General features: G+C 46.9%; 2 protein-coding genes across 10 annotated transcripts in view, besides 11 other annotated features; both read right to left on the bottom strand.

The window, feature by feature from the left end:
• DLX1 (distal-less homeobox 1) lies at positions 1,031-5,198 on the bottom strand. Of its 2 annotated transcripts, NM_178120.5 has the most exons (3): positions 4,715-5,198; positions 3,852-4,051; positions 1,031-2,702 (listed from the first exon to the last, which is right to left on the bottom strand). In NM_178120.5, the coding sequence occupies exons 1-3, from the start codon at positions 5,025-5,027 to the stop codon at positions 2,448-2,450; spliced, it is 768 nt and encodes a 255-aa protein (NP_835221.2). In that variant the 5' UTR covers positions 5,028-5,198; the 3' UTR covers positions 1,031-2,447. The 2 variants fall into 2 exon arrangements, with proteins under 2 accessions (NP_835221.2, NP_001033582.1); NM_001038493.2 differs by lacking the exon at positions 3,852-4,051.
• Positions 1,876-2,487: an enhancer, noted in NCBI's record as "H3K4me1 hESC enhancer chr2:172952946-172953557 (GRCh37/hg19 assembly coordinates)". NCBI's record gives its function as "activates a minimal SCP1, AML or CMV promoter by ChIP-STARR-seq in naive H9 embryonic stem cells {active_cell/tissue: H9 hESC(naive)}" and the evidence as "EXISTENCE:reporter gene assay evidence [ECO:0000049][PMID:30033119]".
• Positions 3,101-3,712: an enhancer, noted in NCBI's record as "H3K4me1 hESC enhancer chr2:172951721-172952332 (GRCh37/hg19 assembly coordinates)". NCBI's record gives its function as "activates a minimal SCP1, AML or CMV promoter by ChIP-STARR-seq in primed H9 embryonic stem cells {active_cell/tissue: H9 hESC(primed)}" and the evidence as "EXISTENCE:reporter gene assay evidence [ECO:0000049][PMID:30033119]".
• Positions 4,327-4,938: an enhancer, noted in NCBI's record as "H3K4me1 hESC enhancer chr2:172950495-172951106 (GRCh37/hg19 assembly coordinates)". NCBI's record gives its function as "activates a minimal SCP1, AML or CMV promoter by ChIP-STARR-seq in primed H9 embryonic stem cells {active_cell/tissue: H9 hESC(primed)}" and the evidence as "EXISTENCE:reporter gene assay evidence [ECO:0000049][PMID:30033119]".
• Positions 4,939-5,552: an enhancer, noted in NCBI's record as "H3K27ac-H3K4me1 hESC enhancer chr2:172949881-172950494 (GRCh37/hg19 assembly coordinates)". NCBI's record gives its function as "activates a minimal SCP1, AML or CMV promoter by ChIP-STARR-seq in naive and primed H9 embryonic stem cells {active_cell/tissue: H9 hESC(naive and primed)}" and the evidence as "EXISTENCE:reporter gene assay evidence [ECO:0000049][PMID:30033119]".
• Positions 4,970-5,089: an enhancer, noted in NCBI's record as "active region_16762". NCBI's record gives its function as "activates an Ori minimal core promoter by ATAC-STARR-seq in GM12878 lymphoblastoid cells {active_cell/tissue: GM12878}" and the evidence as "EXISTENCE:reporter gene assay evidence [ECO:0000049][PMID:35858748]".
• Positions 5,370-5,479: a silencer, noted in NCBI's record as "silent region_12107". NCBI's record gives its function as "represses an Ori minimal core promoter by ATAC-STARR-seq in GM12878 lymphoblastoid cells {active_cell/tissue: GM12878}" and the evidence as "EXISTENCE:reporter gene assay evidence [ECO:0000049][PMID:35858748]".
• Positions 5,553-6,164: an enhancer, noted in NCBI's record as "H3K27ac-H3K4me1 hESC enhancer chr2:172949269-172949880 (GRCh37/hg19 assembly coordinates)". NCBI's record gives its function as "activates a minimal SCP1, AML or CMV promoter by ChIP-STARR-seq in naive H9 embryonic stem cells {active_cell/tissue: H9 hESC(naive)}" and the evidence as "EXISTENCE:reporter gene assay evidence [ECO:0000049][PMID:30033119]".
• Positions 6,165-6,778: an enhancer, noted in NCBI's record as "H3K27ac-H3K4me1 hESC enhancer chr2:172948655-172949268 (GRCh37/hg19 assembly coordinates)". NCBI's record gives its function as "activates a minimal SCP1, AML or CMV promoter by ChIP-STARR-seq in primed H9 embryonic stem cells {active_cell/tissue: H9 hESC(primed)}" and the evidence as "EXISTENCE:reporter gene assay evidence [ECO:0000049][PMID:30033119]".
• Positions 8,275-19,627, bottom strand: part of METAP1D (methionyl aminopeptidase type 1D, mitochondrial) — an 82,478-nt gene continuing 71,125 nt past the window's right edge. For 7 of the 8 annotated variants that reach the window (NR_136273.2, NR_136276.2, NM_001322279.2 and 4 more), the window contains 4 exons: positions 12,811-12,908; positions 11,443-11,490; positions 10,499-10,577; positions 8,275-10,377 (listed from right to left, as the gene is read on the bottom strand). Coding sequence is in view for 6 of the 8 variants with exons in the window: in NM_001322279.2 (NP_001309208.1) it covers positions 10,299-10,377; positions 10,499-10,577; positions 11,443-11,490; positions 12,811-12,908 (304 nt within the window). In the remaining 2 variants the exon portion in view is untranslated. Of the gene's footprint in view, positions 10,378-10,498; positions 10,578-11,442; positions 11,491-12,810; positions 12,909-16,417; positions 17,329-19,627 lie in introns of those variants that run through there. The other variant, XM_047443871.1, reaches the window with a different exon arrangement.
• Positions 9,315-9,844: an enhancer, noted in NCBI's record as "H3K4me1 hESC enhancer chr2:172945589-172946118 (GRCh37/hg19 assembly coordinates)". NCBI's record gives its function as "activates a minimal SCP1, AML or CMV promoter by ChIP-STARR-seq in naive H9 embryonic stem cells {active_cell/tissue: H9 hESC(naive)}" and the evidence as "EXISTENCE:reporter gene assay evidence [ECO:0000049][PMID:30033119]".
• Positions 9,845-10,373: an enhancer, noted in NCBI's record as "H3K4me1 hESC enhancer chr2:172945060-172945588 (GRCh37/hg19 assembly coordinates)". NCBI's record gives its function as "activates a minimal SCP1, AML or CMV promoter by ChIP-STARR-seq in naive H9 embryonic stem cells {active_cell/tissue: H9 hESC(naive)}" and the evidence as "EXISTENCE:reporter gene assay evidence [ECO:0000049][PMID:30033119]".
• Positions 17,184-18,914: an enhancer, noted in NCBI's record as "VISTA enhancer hs553". NCBI's record gives its function as "enhancer in: forebrain[7/8] | cranial nerve[4/8]" and the evidence as "EXISTENCE:transgenic organism evidence [ECO:0001131][PMID:17130149]".

Genomic DNA, 19,627 nt, shown 5'->3' with positions numbered 1-19,627 from the left:
AACAGCGCTTGGCAGCCTGTCTGGGCCCGCAGCTCTCCGGGACTGCCTCGGCTCGGCTGCGAGATCTGGGGTGGGGGTTGGGGCTGGGCTGGGACGCAGGGCCACGAGAAGGGAACCAATCTGGTTCTAGTCCCTTGAAGCCCGTGTTCCTCTGGAGGAAACTAATCTGAGCAAGCGCTTCACTAGAGGTGCTCCCATAAGGGCCTGGCCTTGGGACTTTCGGACTGGGATGAGGTGGGAGTGGTGTGCTTGACTTTGGTCAGATTTTGGGGTTCCAAAGTGTCAGCCACCCTTTCCTTAGCACCTCCATTTCTGTGAGGTGCAGAGAAAGGCCCCGGATCATTAGGCAGGAACCTGCCTTTCTCACTGTGGAGCTCCCAGGGTGGCTGCCTGGGACTGTGCCCTGTCCCCTGGAGCGCACTGATTGATAGAGGGGCAGTCTGACAGACGTGTCTTTCCGGGCCCCTGCTTGGCGTCTGGCTGCGTCTTTTCCGCGACGGAATCCAGCGCCTCCGGGCATGCAAAAGCAGGGAGGCCTGATCCGGAGGAAGGCTAGAGGCAAAGCAGTGTCTCTGCTTTCAGGCCTCTCAGCCTCCCAACCTCCCGGCCTCTCAAGAGCTGGCTGGGTGTGGGAAAAACTGAAATCGTCCTGGCCGGCTGACTTTGAACTCTGACTTCATCTCCTCTCAGCCGGTCTTCAACATCCTTTTGGTTCCTGAGCGTCAGCCCTGCCCTGATGCACCTGTTCCTGAGCCCCCTTCCTGGGGAACCCTCGCCAGGCATTCTCTCCTTACCCTTCCAATTCAGGTAGGAATCAGACACCTTGGGGGTCAATGGAGCAAGGCAGGAAGAAAAAGCCCAATGGGGCACCTCACAGGCCTCTGACGATACCCTGGTGTTTCTGGGGTACAGGGTCTCCATTCTATCACCGATAAGTTGATAAGTCGCTGACCCTGTATGAACTGTCTCCAGAGGCGGGAACCTGGCCTGGCCCCCTGGCACAGCCTCACACAGCACAAGAGAGCAGTTCTTTCAAGAAATCATAATTTTACTGTCTCAAAGAAACTTTATAACTTATTTACAAAGTTTTTTTCCCAAGATACAAAGCAATAAGTTAACATTCTCAATATAAAACTAAACTTTGACATAGAGAACACAAAACACAGTTGATTTCAATTGATCACATTTTCCAAATTTCACAAGAAAAATGTCAAGATTCTCATTTCACAAAGCATGGGGTTTTACAGCCACACACAACAGAACGCAAAAAGGCTAAGCTTGTGCAACATGTTTACAGAACAACAATAATAACAATAATAATAATAACAATAATATGTACAGTCATTAGATCCTGCACTGGAGATTGTGCGTTCAGGGTGGTGACTGGCATTATTCTGTGGTCGAGCCTCTAGGGATTGTTGTAAAGCTGATTTTGTCTTATTTTAAAGCCCACTGGAATTAGAGTGCTTGTTCTCGCCTGTTTTCTCTCTACTCCCCATTTGCCCTCGCTCCCTCTTTCTACCCAAGGAGGAAATCAGCATTTTCCTTCTTGTCCAGGCGAAGCAACAGAGTTCCTCCCGAAATGAGAAAATCATGTTGGCTTCATTTATCGTTCTTTTCTTTTAAAAATTATTTATTAAATAATGTCGGACATGTAAAAAATGCAAATCATTCGGCTCCAAACTCTCCATACCAGAGAAGTACAAAAGTTACTGTATAAATTAAAAATCACCACGTCCTCCTTATTCGTTTCTCCCCGTGCGCTTAAAGTAAACAGTGCGTTTGAACAGTGCGTTCCTTGCGCCCAGCAGAACCCTGAATTGGCAAACAGCCTCAGGCGAAGTCCATTTCTCAATAAATAAAACCCCCTCCCTCCAATGCCCCCAGATTCCCACACCAGCTACACAGATGGTCAGGCAGAGTGTCCCAGGATCCGGAGATGGTCAGCCCGGCAGGACCCGGGCCGCTCAGACCTTGTGGCTTTTTGCTGAGGCCGCAGAATGAGGACAGCGGACGGATGAGGACCTGGACTTTACCAGCGCACAGACAGAGCAAAAGGAGACAGGAGACTGACAGGACAGAAAAGAGCTTTTGCTTTTTCTACATTTTGTTTTTGTTTTGTTTTTTCCTGATAGTCCCACAAAGCTGAAGGTCGGCGGGTCGGGTGGAGCGGGTTTATCTTGCTGCTTGGGCTGTCTCAGGTGGCAGTGGCTTCCCTCCGAGGCCACTCTCTGCTGCCACTGCTCGGCCCAGGCCAGGGTTCAGGCTAGAGCGCGGATGCCGGGAAGTTGCTGGGCCGGACCTCGCGGGGCTCCGAGGAGATGGAGGGCGTCCCGCCTCCACTGTTCCTTCTTCCCTCTGGGTCCTTCTTTTCCGGACGGGATGGATGGACCTGGAGGCGGGAGGGACCTGGGCCGGGGAGACAAGAAGGAGACGGGCGGGCAACCTCACATAAGTTGGGGTTGCTGCATAGCTTCTTGGTGCGCTGAAGGGTACCACGATGTGTAGCTGGGGATATAGGAGCCCGCGTTTCCTCCTGAGCCCTTCCCGGATGAAGAGTTAGGGTTCCAGCCGGGCGGCACGGGTGGGGAGCCAGCAGACAGGGCCCGACCGTTGGCCAACGCACTACCCTCCAGAGCCGCCCCACCCTGCTTCATCAGCTTCTTGAACTTGGATCGCTTGTTTTGGAACCAGATCTTGACCTGCAAGAGCGGACAACAACGTGACTCAGGCTGGGACCACTGAGCCTACCTAGGTCACAGGGAGGAAAAAAGGGACCGCAGAACAGCAGAGATAGGACCTCCCAACCCTGCGCCAGCTGGCAGCTCCCTGCCAGAGAAGCAGAGACATCCCTCCTTCCTCCCTTCCCCCATAAGAGCCAAAGGCTCGAAGGCCGAACCTCCCGCCGCCGTCAGCCCACGGGGGCAGCTCTCAGAGAGCCAGGGAGGAGTTGTGATGAGGGGAGAACCGGGATCCAGGCCTTAGCCTGCCAGGGGCTCAGTCCGACCGTGGCTACCGCCTGCGGAAGATACAGCGCCTGCATAACACCGAGCCAGCAATTCCAATATCAACATCAATAAAAAGAATCGAAAACCTAGGAAGGAGTGGAGGAAATTTATTTGCAACGCGACCCAACTTTTCTATGCGCCATCTTTTCTGCCCTTGAGTTGGGACGGACTAAGGAGGCCTCAAGGTTTTGCTGAACTTCTCTTTGGATTCAAAACCATTCTTGCACTAGTGTCTGTTTGCTTTCTCCAGCTCTGCTCCAAATCCCGGACCGGACGTCGGAAACCCGCGCCCGCCGCCGTCAGGAACGCTCACGGGCTCCCCGGAGTCTTACAGAAAGCCGGGAAGGAAGGTCCCGTTTCTTCTCTAAGGTCTGGGACTTGAGAGGTGAGAGGGCGGAGGAAAGGATCTCCCCCCACCCCCAACCGGTAAGAAGGAGGAGGAGGAGGGAGGCTGAGGCGCGGACCCAGGCCCCGAGTGATTAGTCACACAATTTAAAGGCAAAGGAGGGATTAAGCCCGGAGTCTATTGTTCCAGTTGTTTAGGCACGTGTGACCTCTGAGTTCCCAAACAAATCGTCTGGGGAAATCCTTCCTGCGCCCTAATCAGATTGTCCAGGGACAGAGGGCCGGACGGCAGGCAGCTCGGGATACCGAGAGCAGTGACAGAGCTAGGGCAGAGGGAATGAGGGAGGAAGGAGACACGCTGAGAGCCAGGGGTGGACACAAACACATACACACAGTGACACCCCGACCCTGAGTCCCAGCGAGCAACAAATGAAGACCCGGGCGCAGGCCGGCCGCGGAAAGCCTGCGTGGCAGAACGGAGCGGCAGCGGCGAGGTACCTGAGTCTGTGTGAGTCCCAAAGAGGCCGCGAGCTCCGCCCTCTCCGGCAGAGCTAGGTACTGAGTTTGCTGGAACCTCCGGTTCAAAGCCTGCAACTGCAAACTGGAATAAATCGTCCTGGGTTTACGGATCTTTTTTCCCTTGCCATTGAAGCGCACTTCACCGCCTTCCACCACCGTGCTCTTCTCCGAGTCCGCCCCTGGAGGGACAGCAGAAGTAGGGCCCGTTGTTAATACGAGGGGCCGCCTTTAGTGCGAACAGCCGAGAGCGAGTGGCTACCGAAGGGTGGCGGAGGCAGCACCAGGGAGAGAACGTTCAAGAAACTCTGAAAGCCAGGGAAGGGTCCCCCAAAATCCGAGGGCCTGTCCCGGGACGCTGCAGGAGGGATAGAGCCGTTCCCAGGAGCTCAGCTCCTGCCTTTGCAGGGAAAGTTTGCTATTTTTGCAGGCGGTAGTTGAGGTTTAATTACCCTTAATTGCATACATTGTTTATAGCGCTACGCAATAAATAATTACCGAGACTAATACGTGCACATGTGGGTTTCTGTTTTCCAGCGGGGCATTGTGTGCTCTGCACACCGAGCCGCCCAGAGGCCCAGCCAGTGCCAGGAGACGCTCTGGGATTTATCCTTGGCTGGATAGTTGCAAATTGAGGGAATTTTTAAAAAAATTTATTTGCTGTGACAAGGATCTATAGATTGATATTCGAAACCTCCACTGCTCCCGCGCCCTCCCCACCCCCACCCCACCTCGCTCTCCTCTCTTCTCTTTCTCTCTCTCTCCCTCTCCTCTTCTCCCCCGCTCCTTCTTTCCCTCTCTCCCTTGTACCTCCTCCTCTCCCTCTCCCTGGCAAGCGCACGTACCTGGGTCCTCCAGGCGGCTCTGGGCGAGGCTGGCGCTGCCCGGGTAGGACTGCACCGAACTGATGTAGGGGCTGGATGCGTGGCTGCTGACCGAGTTGACGTAGGGGTAGCCCAGCGGTCGGGAGAAGGACGAGGCTGAGCTGTAGGCGCCGTCGGGCTGCGAATGGCCCGCCGAGTGTAAACAGTGCATGGAGTAGTGCCCGTGGGACATGGGAGAAGGAGACATTTGCTGGTTGGGCGGCCCAAACTCCATAAACACCGCCTTGCCCGACACGGGGCTGTTGAGACTTTCTGGCATGGTGGTCATGGTCATCTCTTCTCGCGGGGTCTGGGTGTGGGACTTTCTCTCCTCTGCTTCCCTTTTGGGGGTCTCTATGTTTCTCAGGACAGGAAGGAACCCAATTTAAGCGGAACAGGGGTTTTCACTTTCCATTCATAAGAAAATGGAGTTTGTCTCTTTGAAAAGTCTAAGCATGATGCTGCTGAGCTCCCCAAACTCGGTTCAAAGCTTTGACTCAGCGAAGGTCATAAATATTCATGAGCTGGCGGAGCTGATTGGTCCGCTGTCTTGCATAATCACTGGGGATTGGTCCGAGGCGCTCGGGCTCCGCTGGACTAGAGCGGGCGAGGCGGCCCGGCCTCGGGTAAGACGCATCCACACTTCCCGGCCGGGGCTCCTCTGCAACAGAGCGCGCCGGGCAGGAAGCACAATGGGCTGCGGCGTCTGCGCCGGGGCCCCTGCGGCCCGCGGCTCATCGGCCTCCCGCCTCCCTCGCGCGCTTTCCTCCCCAGGAACCAACCAGCGGCTCCGCGCCGCCGCCCCCCTACCACTGTCCCCACCCTTCAGCGGTCCCTAACACCGGACACCCGGGACCGCTTCTCGTCGCTGCCACTCAGTTCGGCGCAGAGCTAGGGCGGCTCAGGAGGAGACTGACCTCTGCCTCTGGAGCGCGGAGTCGCGCACTGGGGGCGCCCGAGGCGGCCAACAGACAGAGGTTCTCCTAAGAGCCTTGTGCCTAGCGCAGCGCCTATCCGGCCGCGCCTCCCCGGTACGCTCTGCCGCATCCCTGGAGTCGGGGCTTAGGGGCCCTCCCTGCGAACTCACTCACTCGGCCGCTGCGCCAACGCCGCTGTCGCTCCCTGGGGCCCGCTCGCATTGCTCCAGGCCCAGCTGGCCACTCCAGCTCGAGGCTGCACGGGTCTGATTAAAGCAGTGCGCGTGGAGAGCCAGGAACCCGCGCTTCTCCTCCCAGGAAAGGCGGCTGCACCGCCCCCTCCCCCAACACACACATCCTCTTTCCCTCCCAGCCTTCCTCCTCCTCCCCCTCCCTTCTCCACTCCCCATGCGCGGAGAGCCCCGGGCTCACTCGCCCCGAGAGCGCGGCTCAGCGTGGAGCCCAGGGGGCCTAGGGGCTCAGATCTGCTGGAGCCACCGACGCCAGGTGGTCATTTTCCGGCCTCCTGAGGTCTAGCGCGACTTCCAGAGTTTAGGAGTCCCTGGGGGACACCGAAACCCGCAGCAAACCCAGGCCTGTGGTAGGCTCCCTTATCTATGTGTAGACGTCTCTCGTTGCCACCCAGGATCTTCCTCACCTCCAGTGGCCAAAGCGCGCGCCACCAGGCCTAGGGGGCAGGGCTAGTGGAGGCAAGATCTGCCGCTGCTCCTTCTGTCTTCTGGGGTGCTAGGTACAAAAAAGTGCACAAGAGCCCCCACCCCATCGCCACTACTACCAATACAGCCAGTCCCTCGCGGTGTGGCGTACACCACCCTGGCTGTAAGTGGATGTTGGTTCCCCATCCCGCCAGCCCCACGGTGAATCCCAAATTACTTTGTTAGGTAATTAGAAAGTGTTGATAATTATTTCTTTCATAATTTAGCGGTGTGACGGGAACGGGGAAATGATCTTGTGAAAGTTCACACGTGCAGATGTATTAGTTACTGATTCATTTGATTAAATGGTAGTCTCAAGTGCTCAGATCCGCAGCTGAAGGCGCCCCATTAGCATAACACTGATGTTTAATTTTCATACGCATAATTAGCCATATATTTAACACTAATAGCAACATGCAGCCTTTCAGCGTTAAACAGCCCGGGATTTGATCTGGCCTGAGCTGAACCTTCATCGCTGCACCTTCCCCTGTCTGGAGTGTGCAATGATCACAGGACAAACCTCTGTAATCAAGCACATTTTGGCAGAGGGAACACCAATAAAAATGAACATTCAAAACAAATTACATCGGTGCTGTCGTTACAGATATTAGTAGAGGGGGTTTCTCTTTTTTTTTAACTTCTGTACCAGCTGCTGCTGCCCGCAGAATTCCTCTCCTTTGGTTTAAGGGCACAATGCTGGGGGCAGAAATATTTCAGGCAGAGTGGTTGGAGCAAAAAGAAAAGCAAAAGCAAAAAAAACCCAATACGCCAAACCAATAACGGGTTTGCCAACGTTTAAAAGATTTTTTTTTTCTTAATCACCGAACCACACGGTGAGGCTTTGTAGCAACAGCCAGCTAATGATTCCGCCACCAGGCAACTCCGGGAGCCGCTCGGCTCGTCCTGATTTCTGTGTCGCACTTGTGGTTTTAATTGCTCCTTCCTAGTGCCTGTTTTAGGGTATGGAGTGCCACGCCGTGTGCCCAGCACAGTCGCTCGGATACTGCCGGGCCCCAGGTCTCTCGCGCGTGCCCTGAGGGCCTTGCCCAAGTAAGTGATCGCCGCGGCGGGCGCGGGGTCGGGGTTGGGACCGGGGAAAGCGGAATTGGTAATTCCCGGAGCTCAGGGCAAGGCGTGAGGAAACCCGACGGCCGGGCCGCCTAGGGACAGTGTATTCCAGAGACTTGCAAGGTGGGGGAAGGGGAGAGACGGCCGCACATCGCGACAGTCTCTTGGGTGCTCTGTGTCCACAGCTGGAAAAGGATCAAAGACTTTTGCGGTAGCACAGGGGACCTGGTTGCCTTCTTGGAACAAAAGTCCGGCATGAGCCCCTCGGGATACTGTTTCAGAGCCTTGCTTAATTTAGAAGCGGGTTGTGTGTGAGCAAGAGATGGCTACACTCCGGAATTATTTCTTAGCTCAGAAAGGTCTAGGGAGGAGCACTGAGCGCGGGCCCTCTGATGCCGAGCCGCTGGCGGTAGCTGGTTTCTCAATGTGGGATCTTAGCTGCACTCAGTGAACTTGGAGTGGATCCCTCCCACCCCCTACTGCTAAGGTGACACCTGTTCTGAATGCCGGTTTGCTTAAATTGTTGCCTGCCCTCACTCTGAGAGAAAACAAAACTCTCCCATTTGTCCTGAGGGTCCGGGATTCCTCATGGAGCCTACTGGAGTCACCTCAGGACCAGGAGGTCCTGGTGGTGTTAGCCGCAGCCACTCTTGGCTGGAATCCCAGTGGCTCTGGGTGAGGTTTTCGGCCAGTTCAGCTGGAAGAGGGACAGGAAGGCGTGGACGAGGTATTTTTAAATCTACTTCCTAATCTCAACTTCAAAGCATGTTAAAGGGAGTTCTTTAGGGAGCTGCTGAGTGTTGGTACACACATACACACATATATATATACACCCACACACTTTAGGTTAGTCCCTTTAATAAATGGAATTATAAACTTGTCCCATAAATACCTCCACCTCAAAATAATTGCTGCACAAGCAGCGTGTTACCTCAGTGGTTAGTAAAGTCCTGTGGTCCTAATAAAACTATCCTTGGGGAACCTCGGAGTAAACTGATTTGCAGATAAGATACAATGCTAATGGTTGCAATCTGATTGCCTTAGGAGAAAACTGAAGTCATTCTCCAGCAAACATCTCCCAAGGCCAGCTGAACCCTCTTGATCTTTAGGGAATTCAGATCTTTGGGGGGGTGGGGGGCAGTAGCATCAGGCTGTGGGCCTCTGCTTGGCCAACTTCCGACCACACAAAAAGTTTTTCTATGGACCTTGTAAATCATCAACCCCTCCTTGGTCTTTTCCAGTTCTCAGACTCACTAGAATCAGAAACACCTCTATCCAAAAATCTACAACCCTGGACACAAAGAAGCCGAGCTGGAGGGGTTGGGGGACGACGAGAGAACCCTGTGTTAGGTAAAAGCTGGAACTCATCTCTTTTCCGAGCCACCTGGTCCTCAGTTTCCCGTATTATGAATGTTACAAAGATGAGCTGGCTCTTAGTCCTGGCCGAGGACACCACCTGTCCTGGCAACTACAGGTGCCATTTCCTTGCCGCTTCCGAAAGCCCAAGTTATCTTTAAGGGATGTCAGCTTTGCAAAACCCGCTTCAGTAGAAACAAGAGTTAGCACAACCATTAACTGCTTGAACACCCTCGTTGGACTTGTTCCTAAAATCATAACCGAAGGCAGACGGCTTCCTTCGTGGACTGCCAGAGGCCCGGCCTCTCCCTGCCCTTGAGCTCAGGTGAGGAACAGGTACCGGAGAGCAAGCGCAAGGGAAAGGAGGGTGCTCCGGGCAGGAATGGCCCTTGGCAGACAGAGCGTGGGCCCTTGGATTCCTGTTCCTGAAGCGGGATGGAACTGCCGGCCGAACTGGAGCTCAACTCGCAAGCTTCAGTCCCGGCCAAGTAGGCCCTTGCTCTCAAATGCGCCCGTATCTCCTCTCTCTGGGACCCTCTCGGTTTCCAGAACAGCTGACGTTTGCGGCTCCTGCAGCGTGCAAGCGCGGGTCCCGATGCGAGAAGGGCCAGTCTGGGGAGGGGTCATTTTAGAGACTAGACCGCCCACTAATCAGCCACTGTTCACACCTGGGCGAGTGGGGCCCAAGCTCGAATTCCTAGTGCAGCAAACGGTCTAGCGTGCGTGCGTGCGTGTGGGGTGGGTGGGGGGAGGGCCTCAAACTTCACCTCTGGACTGGCCTTGGAGGGCTGGATGTGGGCGGGGGAGGAAGAGCCGCAGGGGTCCAGGAAAGTCGCGTTTCTGGATTGACAGAAACCTGAAGAATGGCCAGGCCCAGAGTCCACTGCCAAGGACATGTTTGTAATCAATGCCTCTGTTCGCGGGCTAATCTTTCATCGCAAAGCCGCGATGGAGGGGAAAGATACGGAAGGGCTGGGGTTGGGGGCTGGCTTCTGCGAGCATCCTTGGGGCCGGCCAATATGGAATACACAAAAGGGAGAAACGGATTCTTAAAAATCCCAGTCAACAGGTTCGGATTTTTCGGCAGACGTGCAAAGTTCAGATACAAAGATCACTGTAACTGTCAGAGAGGTAAGGACCTCTGATACAATGGATTTAAGAGGTTTTTTACTCCAACAGTCAGGGCAAGGGAAAGAGAAAACCGTGCTTCTCTTGGAATCTCTTCCAACAAGGGGGTTTCCTCCAGTCCCCTCCAGATGCGTTGACCGCGCTGGGAAACCGAGTCCAGGGCCAGGATTTGTTTTTCCAAAGCCGCGCGACCCCAGCAGGGCTTCAGATCCGAGTTCCCAGTTGCTCTTCAGTCTCCCCCGCGTTCTTCCAAACGCTATCAGGAGCCACGCAGGTTACCGCACCACCGGTCATTTCCCTGTTTCTTCTAAAAGTTCTCCAGCCAAATTTCAGCAATTTATTTAAAAAGGCACCAGGTCACCGCGACCTTCGGGCGGCTCCTCAGGCCTCATGGGGTAGTTTGGTCAGGATCTGCGCGCCCCTCGACGTGATCAGAACCGTGTGCTCGAACTGCGCCGACCTGTAACACAGCACCCAGCCGTCAGAACGCGCACGCAAGCTCCGGCCGGGCCACAAGCGCGCCGTCGGACCAATCTTCCTTTCCCATACAATTTAAAAGCAACAGAGCAGAAAGCAAACACCTTTGATTGTCTAGGGAGACCACAGTCCATGCATCCTCCAGGACTTTAAATTCAGGGGATCCCTCCGTGATGATTGGCTCTGTAAGAGGAAAAATATTTACTGCAGTGACCTCATCAGATTCTTGTTAAACATTGTTTCCGGCTGATTATTAAAAAAGAGAAGTTTCTCCTCCCTCCCCTCAAGTGCTTCCCCCACAGGCTCATGTTGTCATCTTGCAAGGGTTGATAATTGATGTTGCTTACATAGTATACTACAAACTAAACAGTTGGAAGAGGAAACACTGCGCCATTCAAAATGTATGAAGTTGCCTAGTTCGTAATTTTTTAGAGAAAGAAGGGCATTTTAATCAAGCTTTAATTAGGACCCCGTGGATAATAACCACCCAAACACCAGTCCCTCTTATAAATACCAATTTTTAAAAAAATATTTAAATTTTAAAAACATGCTCGAGATGTTCATTCATCAGCAAATAACAATTTTCTTATTTCACTCTAATTGCTTCTCCATTAAGTCCCACAGTCAGAAACAGGATGTCTTTACGGCCCTAGGTGACTGGAATTTGGTGGTGATACCAATCACAGGATCAGCCAGGAACGGGCCACCAGAGAGCACATGCCACTTGCTGACAGGGAGCAAGGGACATAATCGTGTCTAGTTACTGGGTGTTAATGAAAAAACAAAACAAAACAAAAAACCCAACACCACATTATGCTGGTAACAGAATTAGAGGTTGGATGGCTGCCTTCTCCTAAATGTGTCGGTAAGTATCTGATTTAGGAAGATGGGGCTTGAGGATATTATTTAATCAGATTTCCAGTGCATCCGAATTATTTCATTACACTGATTGGCTTTATTGGTCCTTCACCGGACTGCCGGGCCTAGGCCAGTGGCAAAAGCTTCCACCAGGAGCTACGCACTCACTCGGAAGAGGAGCTCAATTTACCTATAGTGAATGCCATGCCCTCCTCCATGGGTAGATCACTGTCGTTTGCTGCAAAACAAAAAACATGGGGGGTGAGAATAGGAAATGGGGAGGACAGAAAAAAAAAACAGATTACAGGGGTCAGGCCCCTTTAAAAAACTTGGTCGTTTTATTTCTCTTCTTTTAGAGAAGGAAGGGTGGAGATTTCTGGAGTCCTGGATAGTGACCAGGAGTTAAACACGGGGCTACTGGGCCTGAGTCTTTGCATTATCTGTGCTCTGGGTCAAGACTCCCCCAGAAGAGTTTTCCAAGGCCTGGCAGGGGCAGCCTGGTTGTTTCAGACACGTCAGGCTTCCTCGCCCCCTCTCCCTGTCCCCCAGGCTACTAGGTCTCCCAGCCTACTACTGGGTCCTGGGCCTTGCCCACACCCCTCACTCAAAGAAGTCCTGGGGAAGGATGCAAAGGAGGGAAGCCTCCTTTGGTGCAGGTTGTGGGGAGCAGGGGCCTGACTTCAAATAGCTTCACTCCAGACATTGGCACCAGGTAGGGCACAAGGCTGACAAGCCGTTTCTGCACTCTCACCTGAACCTCTTGAGCTGCCTAGGTGGGGGCTCTTTGGTCCAAAGAGGGTTTGGACCTGCTGGGTGTCCAGCGATCCTCGAGGGCATGGGTCCGAAAGAGTAGTCCTTCTATGGACCAATCAAGTCCATAGGGGCACAGGTCAAGGCCCCAGGACCAACTTTCCTTTGATCCCCGTCCAGGTGTGGACCTGCCTTGAGGGTGCTCCACTGAGCTGCCTCCTACCTCAATCCAAATCCTCCCACCCCTCTGGGCCCACCCCTGTCTTCTCACTATAGGGTGCACACCCAGGCAGTGAAAAACAAGAGATTCTGGGGAAGGAAGACAAGGGTGGGCATAATCTAGAAATCACGAAGGAGTACATGCTGCTAAATACATCAGCTGTCAACGCTGTGTAGGATGTAATGAAGTTTAACCACAACAGTCAGCAGCTAGAAAAGGGGGTAGAAAAAGAAAAACAGAAACAGTCATATGTGCATGCTGCTGGGACACTGATGCAGTGGCGTTTTGTTTTCAGTAACTTTTTCTACACAAATATCCCTTGTGCCTTCCAGCCATGCACCCTTCAGGAGAAGACAGAGAGCAAAATAAACCTTATTTTGGGATTGAAACAGCTGGGCTCTAATCCAGTAACACAGTAATGTCCCGGTTAAAATTAAGCAGACCCCCCTCCCCTGCCCCCTGCACATAAACACACACACAAACACAAGGTTGATAATGCAGATTCAAAGTCAGAGGAAGAGCTTCAGGGTCAAAGCTGCCACATCTTGATCTCTGATCAAGAAACAGCCTCCAAATGAACTTTCTTACCATGATGCCAAATTTCTGGATGTCCATGAAAGTAAGATCCTATTCCATGTCCCACAAAATGTGGACAGACTTGAAAACCATTCTGATGAGTTATGTGGCTTTAAAAGTGACCAAAAAATATTTAATTAAATTAGATAAGTTTTTCAGGCATACTAAGATAAAACAAAGTCACTTTAAAATATTCTCTGAAAAAGAAAAAGTCAGTAATATTTAGAGTCAGATAATAACATTCATGTGTTTTCATTATGCTGTAATAATTTTAATTTTTGCTGTTGCCTGCAACCACTGTCTTTGGATATATGAAGAGAGAAGGTACATATCTATCCAACACAGTCGTTTGAGTCATTTACCTTTGTACAGCATTCAAACAAAGCCACTTTTAGACAACAAGTGAGTGTGTATACACACATAGTGATTGCCATACATAACCGGGATATATGTGCATATAATGCAGGTCATAAAAACCTGCCTGGCTTTTTTGAGGTTTCACAAAAAGACTATAAATTACTCCTGATTGGGGAACCAAATATAAAACAAATTACAATATAGAAATATGACTTTCTACTTCTATGGTTCCCTTTTTCTGCTCTATTTCAAAGTGTTACACATTTTACCAACAGGCACACTCACACGAAAAGCTCAATCTACTTTGTCAATATTCTTGAAATACTCCAAAACCGTGAGATCATTTGAGAGTTCCATTCAAGACCTGCACCATTAACAAAATTCATAAAGAATGCTTTTTAATCACTAGGATGCTTAAGATAAGCTAGTATTGTGATTCCCAATTCTTAGTGCTTCATTAGTTACTTCATTACATGTATGTGGAGAAGTACATTGCATGCACTACATTAGTTACATGCAAATGTTTTACATTCCATCTGAAACCAAGCACACAGACTCCAATTCTAAAATCTTCATCTACAAGATTGAAAAGTAGTCCTTGAAATCAGCTAACATGTTTATTTTGGGGAGCATCAGACAAACAAGAACATATATACTATTAAGAATTTATATTTTCATGTGGACAAAGGGCAAAATGCCCCTAACCCTAACACTAGATTGGGATTTACAGGACTACTATTTCAATTATTAACAGAACTAAGTTTCTAGATCTCAAACTAGAGTCTCTAACAGACTCTAAGTTTAGTTTAACATGAACCCACAGGCTTTCAGCCAGCATCTTTATGGCCATTCATGTTTATACATTTTTCTAAATAATTTTAACCATCCCCAGACTTGTAAGACAGCTTCACTTAGACCTGGATGTCACTATAACCAGCAGATGGGCAGCCTCTTATTCAGATTTAATTTTGATGTAACTGTTAGTGCAGAAATAGGTAAGCTATACATATGTTGAGGACAGGAACGGTAAGTCAAGGTTTTTATCTCTTACGTTGTACTTTATGGTTATTTCTGTGGATCTTTGGTGGGCAAGTATTTCTATTTGGTGTTTCCCAAGGTGTTTTTATTTGTGCCACACAGTTTCTGAATAAACACTGAGGATGAAGAGTGAATACAGGGTGGAAGAAAGATAATTAAATAGGACATAATAATCTAGATTTTTTTTTTTTTACAGGAACAGTTTCTCCCTAAACCTATAAATTATGTTAGTTCAATCCCAACAAACCTCAATGATTCTAAGAACACTCAATATAAACTATTCTATTTTCTCTTCTAAAAAAAAAAATCTAGGTTCTTTTTTTTTTGTTTTTAGAGGATCCGGCTGATTGGCAGGCATCACGGCTACATCTTAAATGTGTGTTACAATGGCAATCTTCATTTTAATTTCCGATGAGAGGAGAGGAAGAAAGCCCACTCTGAAAAAACACTTAGGGTCCCTCCCCCCATCATACCTCTCGTTCCTCTGCATAAAAGAAGCTGTGCAATTACTAGGTGGCTAAAGATATCTAAGAGCATTCTCCTACAACAATTTACTCCGTGGGTCCTGCTGGAACTTCTGGCTCCAGGAGTATCATAGAATCTGTGTGTCATGGATGCAAAGGTTAGAGGATTTCACAGCCAGGTGGAAAGAGGAAAAGAACAGGCCAAATTTCCCCCAGTTCCCTGCTTGAGCACATCTTAATGCCTGACTCTCAGGAGCTGAGTATACACTCCTGTTTGCTTTGCAGAGTATTTTCCTTCTGGATTGGTAGGTGGTTTTTAGCACTTACTGGAACTAAGTCAGATAGGATCTCATTAATATTCCTAATTACTGTTTAAAAGCATTCCCTTTCTATTATTTTGGAATAAATGGGGAGCACAAGATTATTTACCTGATTGTAGGGTTTAAGTCCAAATTCACAGAGACAATCCAAGTGACCAGTAGTAGCAAATTTCACTCCTCTAATTTGAAAGAAAGTACTGGTAACCCTAACTGTGGCATGGGGAGTTGGAGTATGTCTGCAGCTCTTGACTGGCATGCTGGGGAAAATGGAAACAGCAGGGCAGGCAGAAGCACCGAAGTGCTCCCAAACACCAGTCACCACAGGCCATAACCCTTTTCTGTGCACAAGAGTTTTCTTGCCCTGGACATTTCACGGATAAAATCTGTCTTCGCTCTGCTGAAACCTACTGAAAAGAATTCTCCTGGTAGTAGATCTTCTGATTTTCTCTAACTAAAAATCCTTTAAGACAGTGTGACATCTGCCCATGAACCCAAGCACACTTGTGATTTGAGGCCTTTTATATGGAATATTTGGAGAGGGAGAGGAGGATACATAAAGGTTGTTTATGAACTTACTTTCCTATTATACTGTCTGATTACAATTCATGTTGTAGTTACAGTTTATACATGAAAAAGATACCTCTTTTAAGGAATTTCATCTTGTGACCATTTTCTTCAGTTTAATTCCTTTTCATGAGGCAGTTATACTCAATTTAAATGTCACCTAGGTAAATTAAATTTCTTAATACTTTTCAACTAGTTTTTTGACTAAAAATACATTCCCCAAGAGGGCAGAGGAGTACTATGTTTACGTACATGCTGTTATAAAGAAATAAAAATGCACATGAAAATAGATTTATTGCCAATTTTACATTAATCCTATAAACAGCACTAATCTCCAAATAGTCACATCTCTAATAAATGATCTCAAATGGCATGTTATTTCATAAGTTATGAAATTTTTCTTTACTCTTTCTAGATATTTATTTTAGGCAGTAGTTATGAATGAAGAAATGCACAAATCCAGGGATTCCTTCTAATGAAAAGGAATGTTTAAGTACAATTAGTAATATTTTTGAAAGCCAACAACTGTTTTCCAAAAAAGTAGTAGATTTTTTTTGTTTCAAACCAGATCACAAATTACTGTATTTTTCTTACAATAGTGCTGAACTTTTATTTGAGGTTTTCTGTTTCTGAAAAGCAGACATGATGGATTGAAATAAAAGATAATTTATTGCAATGCTTACTTTCATGTGCAGAGAGAAGCAGTATAATTGTAATTTACAGTAGCTGTCAAGAAAAATCCATCACAGATGACATTAAAATGACTTATTTTGCCTGAGCCACTTATTGTTTAAATGTGCGTAATCTAATAGAAAGAGATTATTTTTTAAAAATCTGCTTTATATTGTTCCAAATTAATATCAAAACATATAGTTATGAATTAAACATTAAAAACCATTTATTGATACTTTCATCATGACATTTACAAGTTTAAATTATTTTTGATTGAACTGTCACATATTCATGATGCATGAATCTACACATTCACAATATACTCATATGTACAGATTGTATAATCTAGAGATAATTATAAAAATACAGATTTAGAAATATTTTAAAGCAAATGGAGATACAGTGAGTCTAGTAACACTATGACCTAAAGATTACTAGACATTCCTCACAAAAGCAAAAGGGCCCAGAGAGAACTCTTTCCATTAAAACATTTTAGCTGATACTTCCTCAAAGACATTATCTTCTTTAGGTTTCAGAGGAGAATTCCAAAATTTCCTGTAGAGATCTCAAGGTTTTTGATAACATGATACTAATACAAGTTGCTTGTTCTTTTCCTAGTGTATCAGTAGAGAGAGGCTACGCAAAAGATGGTGAATATCTTAAAATAAACAAGACCGAGTTGAAAGATGTTTGTAAACCTTTGGTCTGTAATGATTTCAAGTACTTTTGGCTTAAAGGTAAATATGGTTTGTTTACTTATTCCCCTAAGATTTTGCCAGAATAAGAAAAGGCAAGATAATAGGTGTCCAGAAACACTGCTTTAACACATCAGAACAAATATTTGTTAGAATCGGGGCCAGTTTCCTTTCTAGCGGCAGACATAAACCATCTAAATAATGAAATGTATTAGGGTACAAGTAAAAAGTTCATTGTCTGTTATTTTCCACATAGTTTTTTTAAGTGCAGTTGTTGGGACTGACTGATCTGGTTTTCAAAAAAGCTTGTACATGCAAATTCATACTCTGTGAAAACTGACCTTTGTATCCAGATAGCTAAAATCCAATGTCACTTTCAATTCTACTCTTCTTCTTCTTCTTCTTTTTTTTTTAATGTAGCTAGAATTAATGTAGTGAATATGTAATGAAATGCATTATCCTGCATGGAGATTTATCAAATTTTCCAACTGAATGCTATGCTTTGCTAGTACTAGCTGGAGTTCACCTGCATGTTGGTGTGGCGTGTGGCTCTTTTTTGTAAAGAGTTAAGTCGTACACAAAAAAAGGGAACAAAGGTCAGCACCCAGCCGCCACTTGAATGTGAGATTTTTCTTTTTATTCCCCTTGATGTATACTAGGCTCTGTGTTATTAGTCTTAATGATGGAAAATTGTAGTGTTGATACAAATCTTTTTTTCAAAGTAGTAGGCGGGAGCTCCATTTGTTAGTAAGTTTTTTTTGTGACTAAAAGCCATGGACAGTACATTTATGTAGCAGTAAAAGGCCTAGATGCTCTTTCCATAGCAGAGCTAATTATTCCTACTGTGACCTTACTGATCTAGCCTGTTCCTAGCACATCTCATCTGCACGCCTGTTCCTCTGTGTAGATGGTGTCAGAGAATATGAAAAACCCTATAATGAAACCATTTTCATGATGGAGAAAGGCTACTGGAGTTGCACTTGCTACAAAGAGGCTCAATTATATGAGTAATTGTGATAATTTTCTACATTCATAGCCTTCAATGGGGGAAAAAGAATGAGAGCCACAAAGGAAAATTACTTTAACAAGAAAGTACAGAGAGTAAAAATGGAAGAAGAGACAAAAAGGGGAAAAAATAACCAGAAAAAAAGTTTAAAAAATAGATCTGGAGGGAGGAATAGCGAGACAGGGAGAACAACAGAAATGCTCAAAAGCCCATGTGCAGCTGTGTTGCACAATTAAATTGAATTTTTTTTTCTGCAGTTGATGAATGTGACTACTGCAAATGTGCCTCTGTAGTTAGCTATCATTTGTTGTTCCGTGACAGGAAAAGGATAATTACCTCTCAGAGAGAATCAAAGGCTGACATGCCCTTTAGACACAGCCATGAATGCAGAGCTCGATAGAATGCTTGAATAAGAATCTAGTGTTCTCTGCCCCCTTCTACTGAAGAATAAATTTTGTTAAAATGCAAGAGCACCACCAGTAAATTTGTTGAACCCTAGGTGTTCAAAAATATGAGGTGCATCTATCGACTCATCCCATTTGCAAAAATAAAACTGCATTTTGAATTCATTTCTATTATATTCATGGACAGTAAGATAGTGAGATATGCATTAAATTTCTTTTCCCAGTAGGGGTCTGATTCAACATTTCCTATGAAAGAACAGAGAGACACTATCCTTTTTTCCCAGGCTAGTTAGCCTATAATTTAAAACTGTCAAAAACACAATTTTGTTCAAAGTCTTCAATAAAAGCTTCTCAGATATAACCCAAAGAGATTTTACTAAAGTTTGATTCAGACACTGTTACAATATTTTTAAAGCCATAAATACATTTAACTGATATTTTACTGGCTTTTTTCTTAAAGTATTTGAAGGCTTACGAAGAAAAAAAGGCAGCATCTTTTCAAGGTGACTAAGCCTTCCATCCTTTAGACAAATGGGAAGTATTCAATGGTTCATATTAATGAGAACAGTACTTTAAAGGGCACTGATGTGATCATCTTTAACAGAATGCATTACTTTAAAATGAAAACATATATTCGGCATGTCTACTTCAAAACAGTTATGGGGGAAAAAAGACCTAAAAGTAGGTAACAGATTATAAAGAAAAGTCTTAAATTCAGAAAACACACATACACATACATTCAAAAAGTAAGGATAGAATACTCTGTGAAAAATAAACAACGGTTTACAGGAAAAATGAACCAGACAAAAAAAGAACAGAAGATCACCGTTTCAGGCTATTTGTTAATCTACCAATTTGAAAGGTAAGGCTTGCTTGAACTAACACTTTATTATCTTCATATCACAGAAATACATTTCACTTCATTCCTTTATAAAATTTAGTTTTTCTCCTGTCTTATTAAAAACCCCAGGGTTGAGATGCTCATCCCCTTCTTAGGTACTCCCTTCCATATTTGGTGTGATTTTGAATAAAGGGAAACTATAGACCAGTATGTCAAGCTAAAACAAAAGCAGCCATGTAAATATTGCTTGCTCCTTCTATAAGTTTCTTTGCTGACCCTGGTATAATTCATTTTTATAAAATCTTTTTTTTTTTTCAACTCAGGGAACAATATTGCAGCCTGGCAGTTCACATACTGATATCAGACTGAAATGATGGTTCTGAATCATAAAACATGTCATCAACTTTATACCAAGCCACCAATAACCTTTGTACCATTTGCCAACCCTCCCTTTACTTGTCAATGTAA

Source organism: Homo sapiens, chromosome 2 (assembly GCF_000001405.40).
Source record: "Homo sapiens chromosome 2, GRCh38.p14 Primary Assembly".
NCBI lineage: Eukaryota > Metazoa > Chordata > Mammalia > Primates > Hominidae > Homo > Homo sapiens.
The sequence above is the reverse complement of the archived record's forward strand: the minus strand, read 5'-3'. Positions and strand labels throughout refer to the sequence as shown.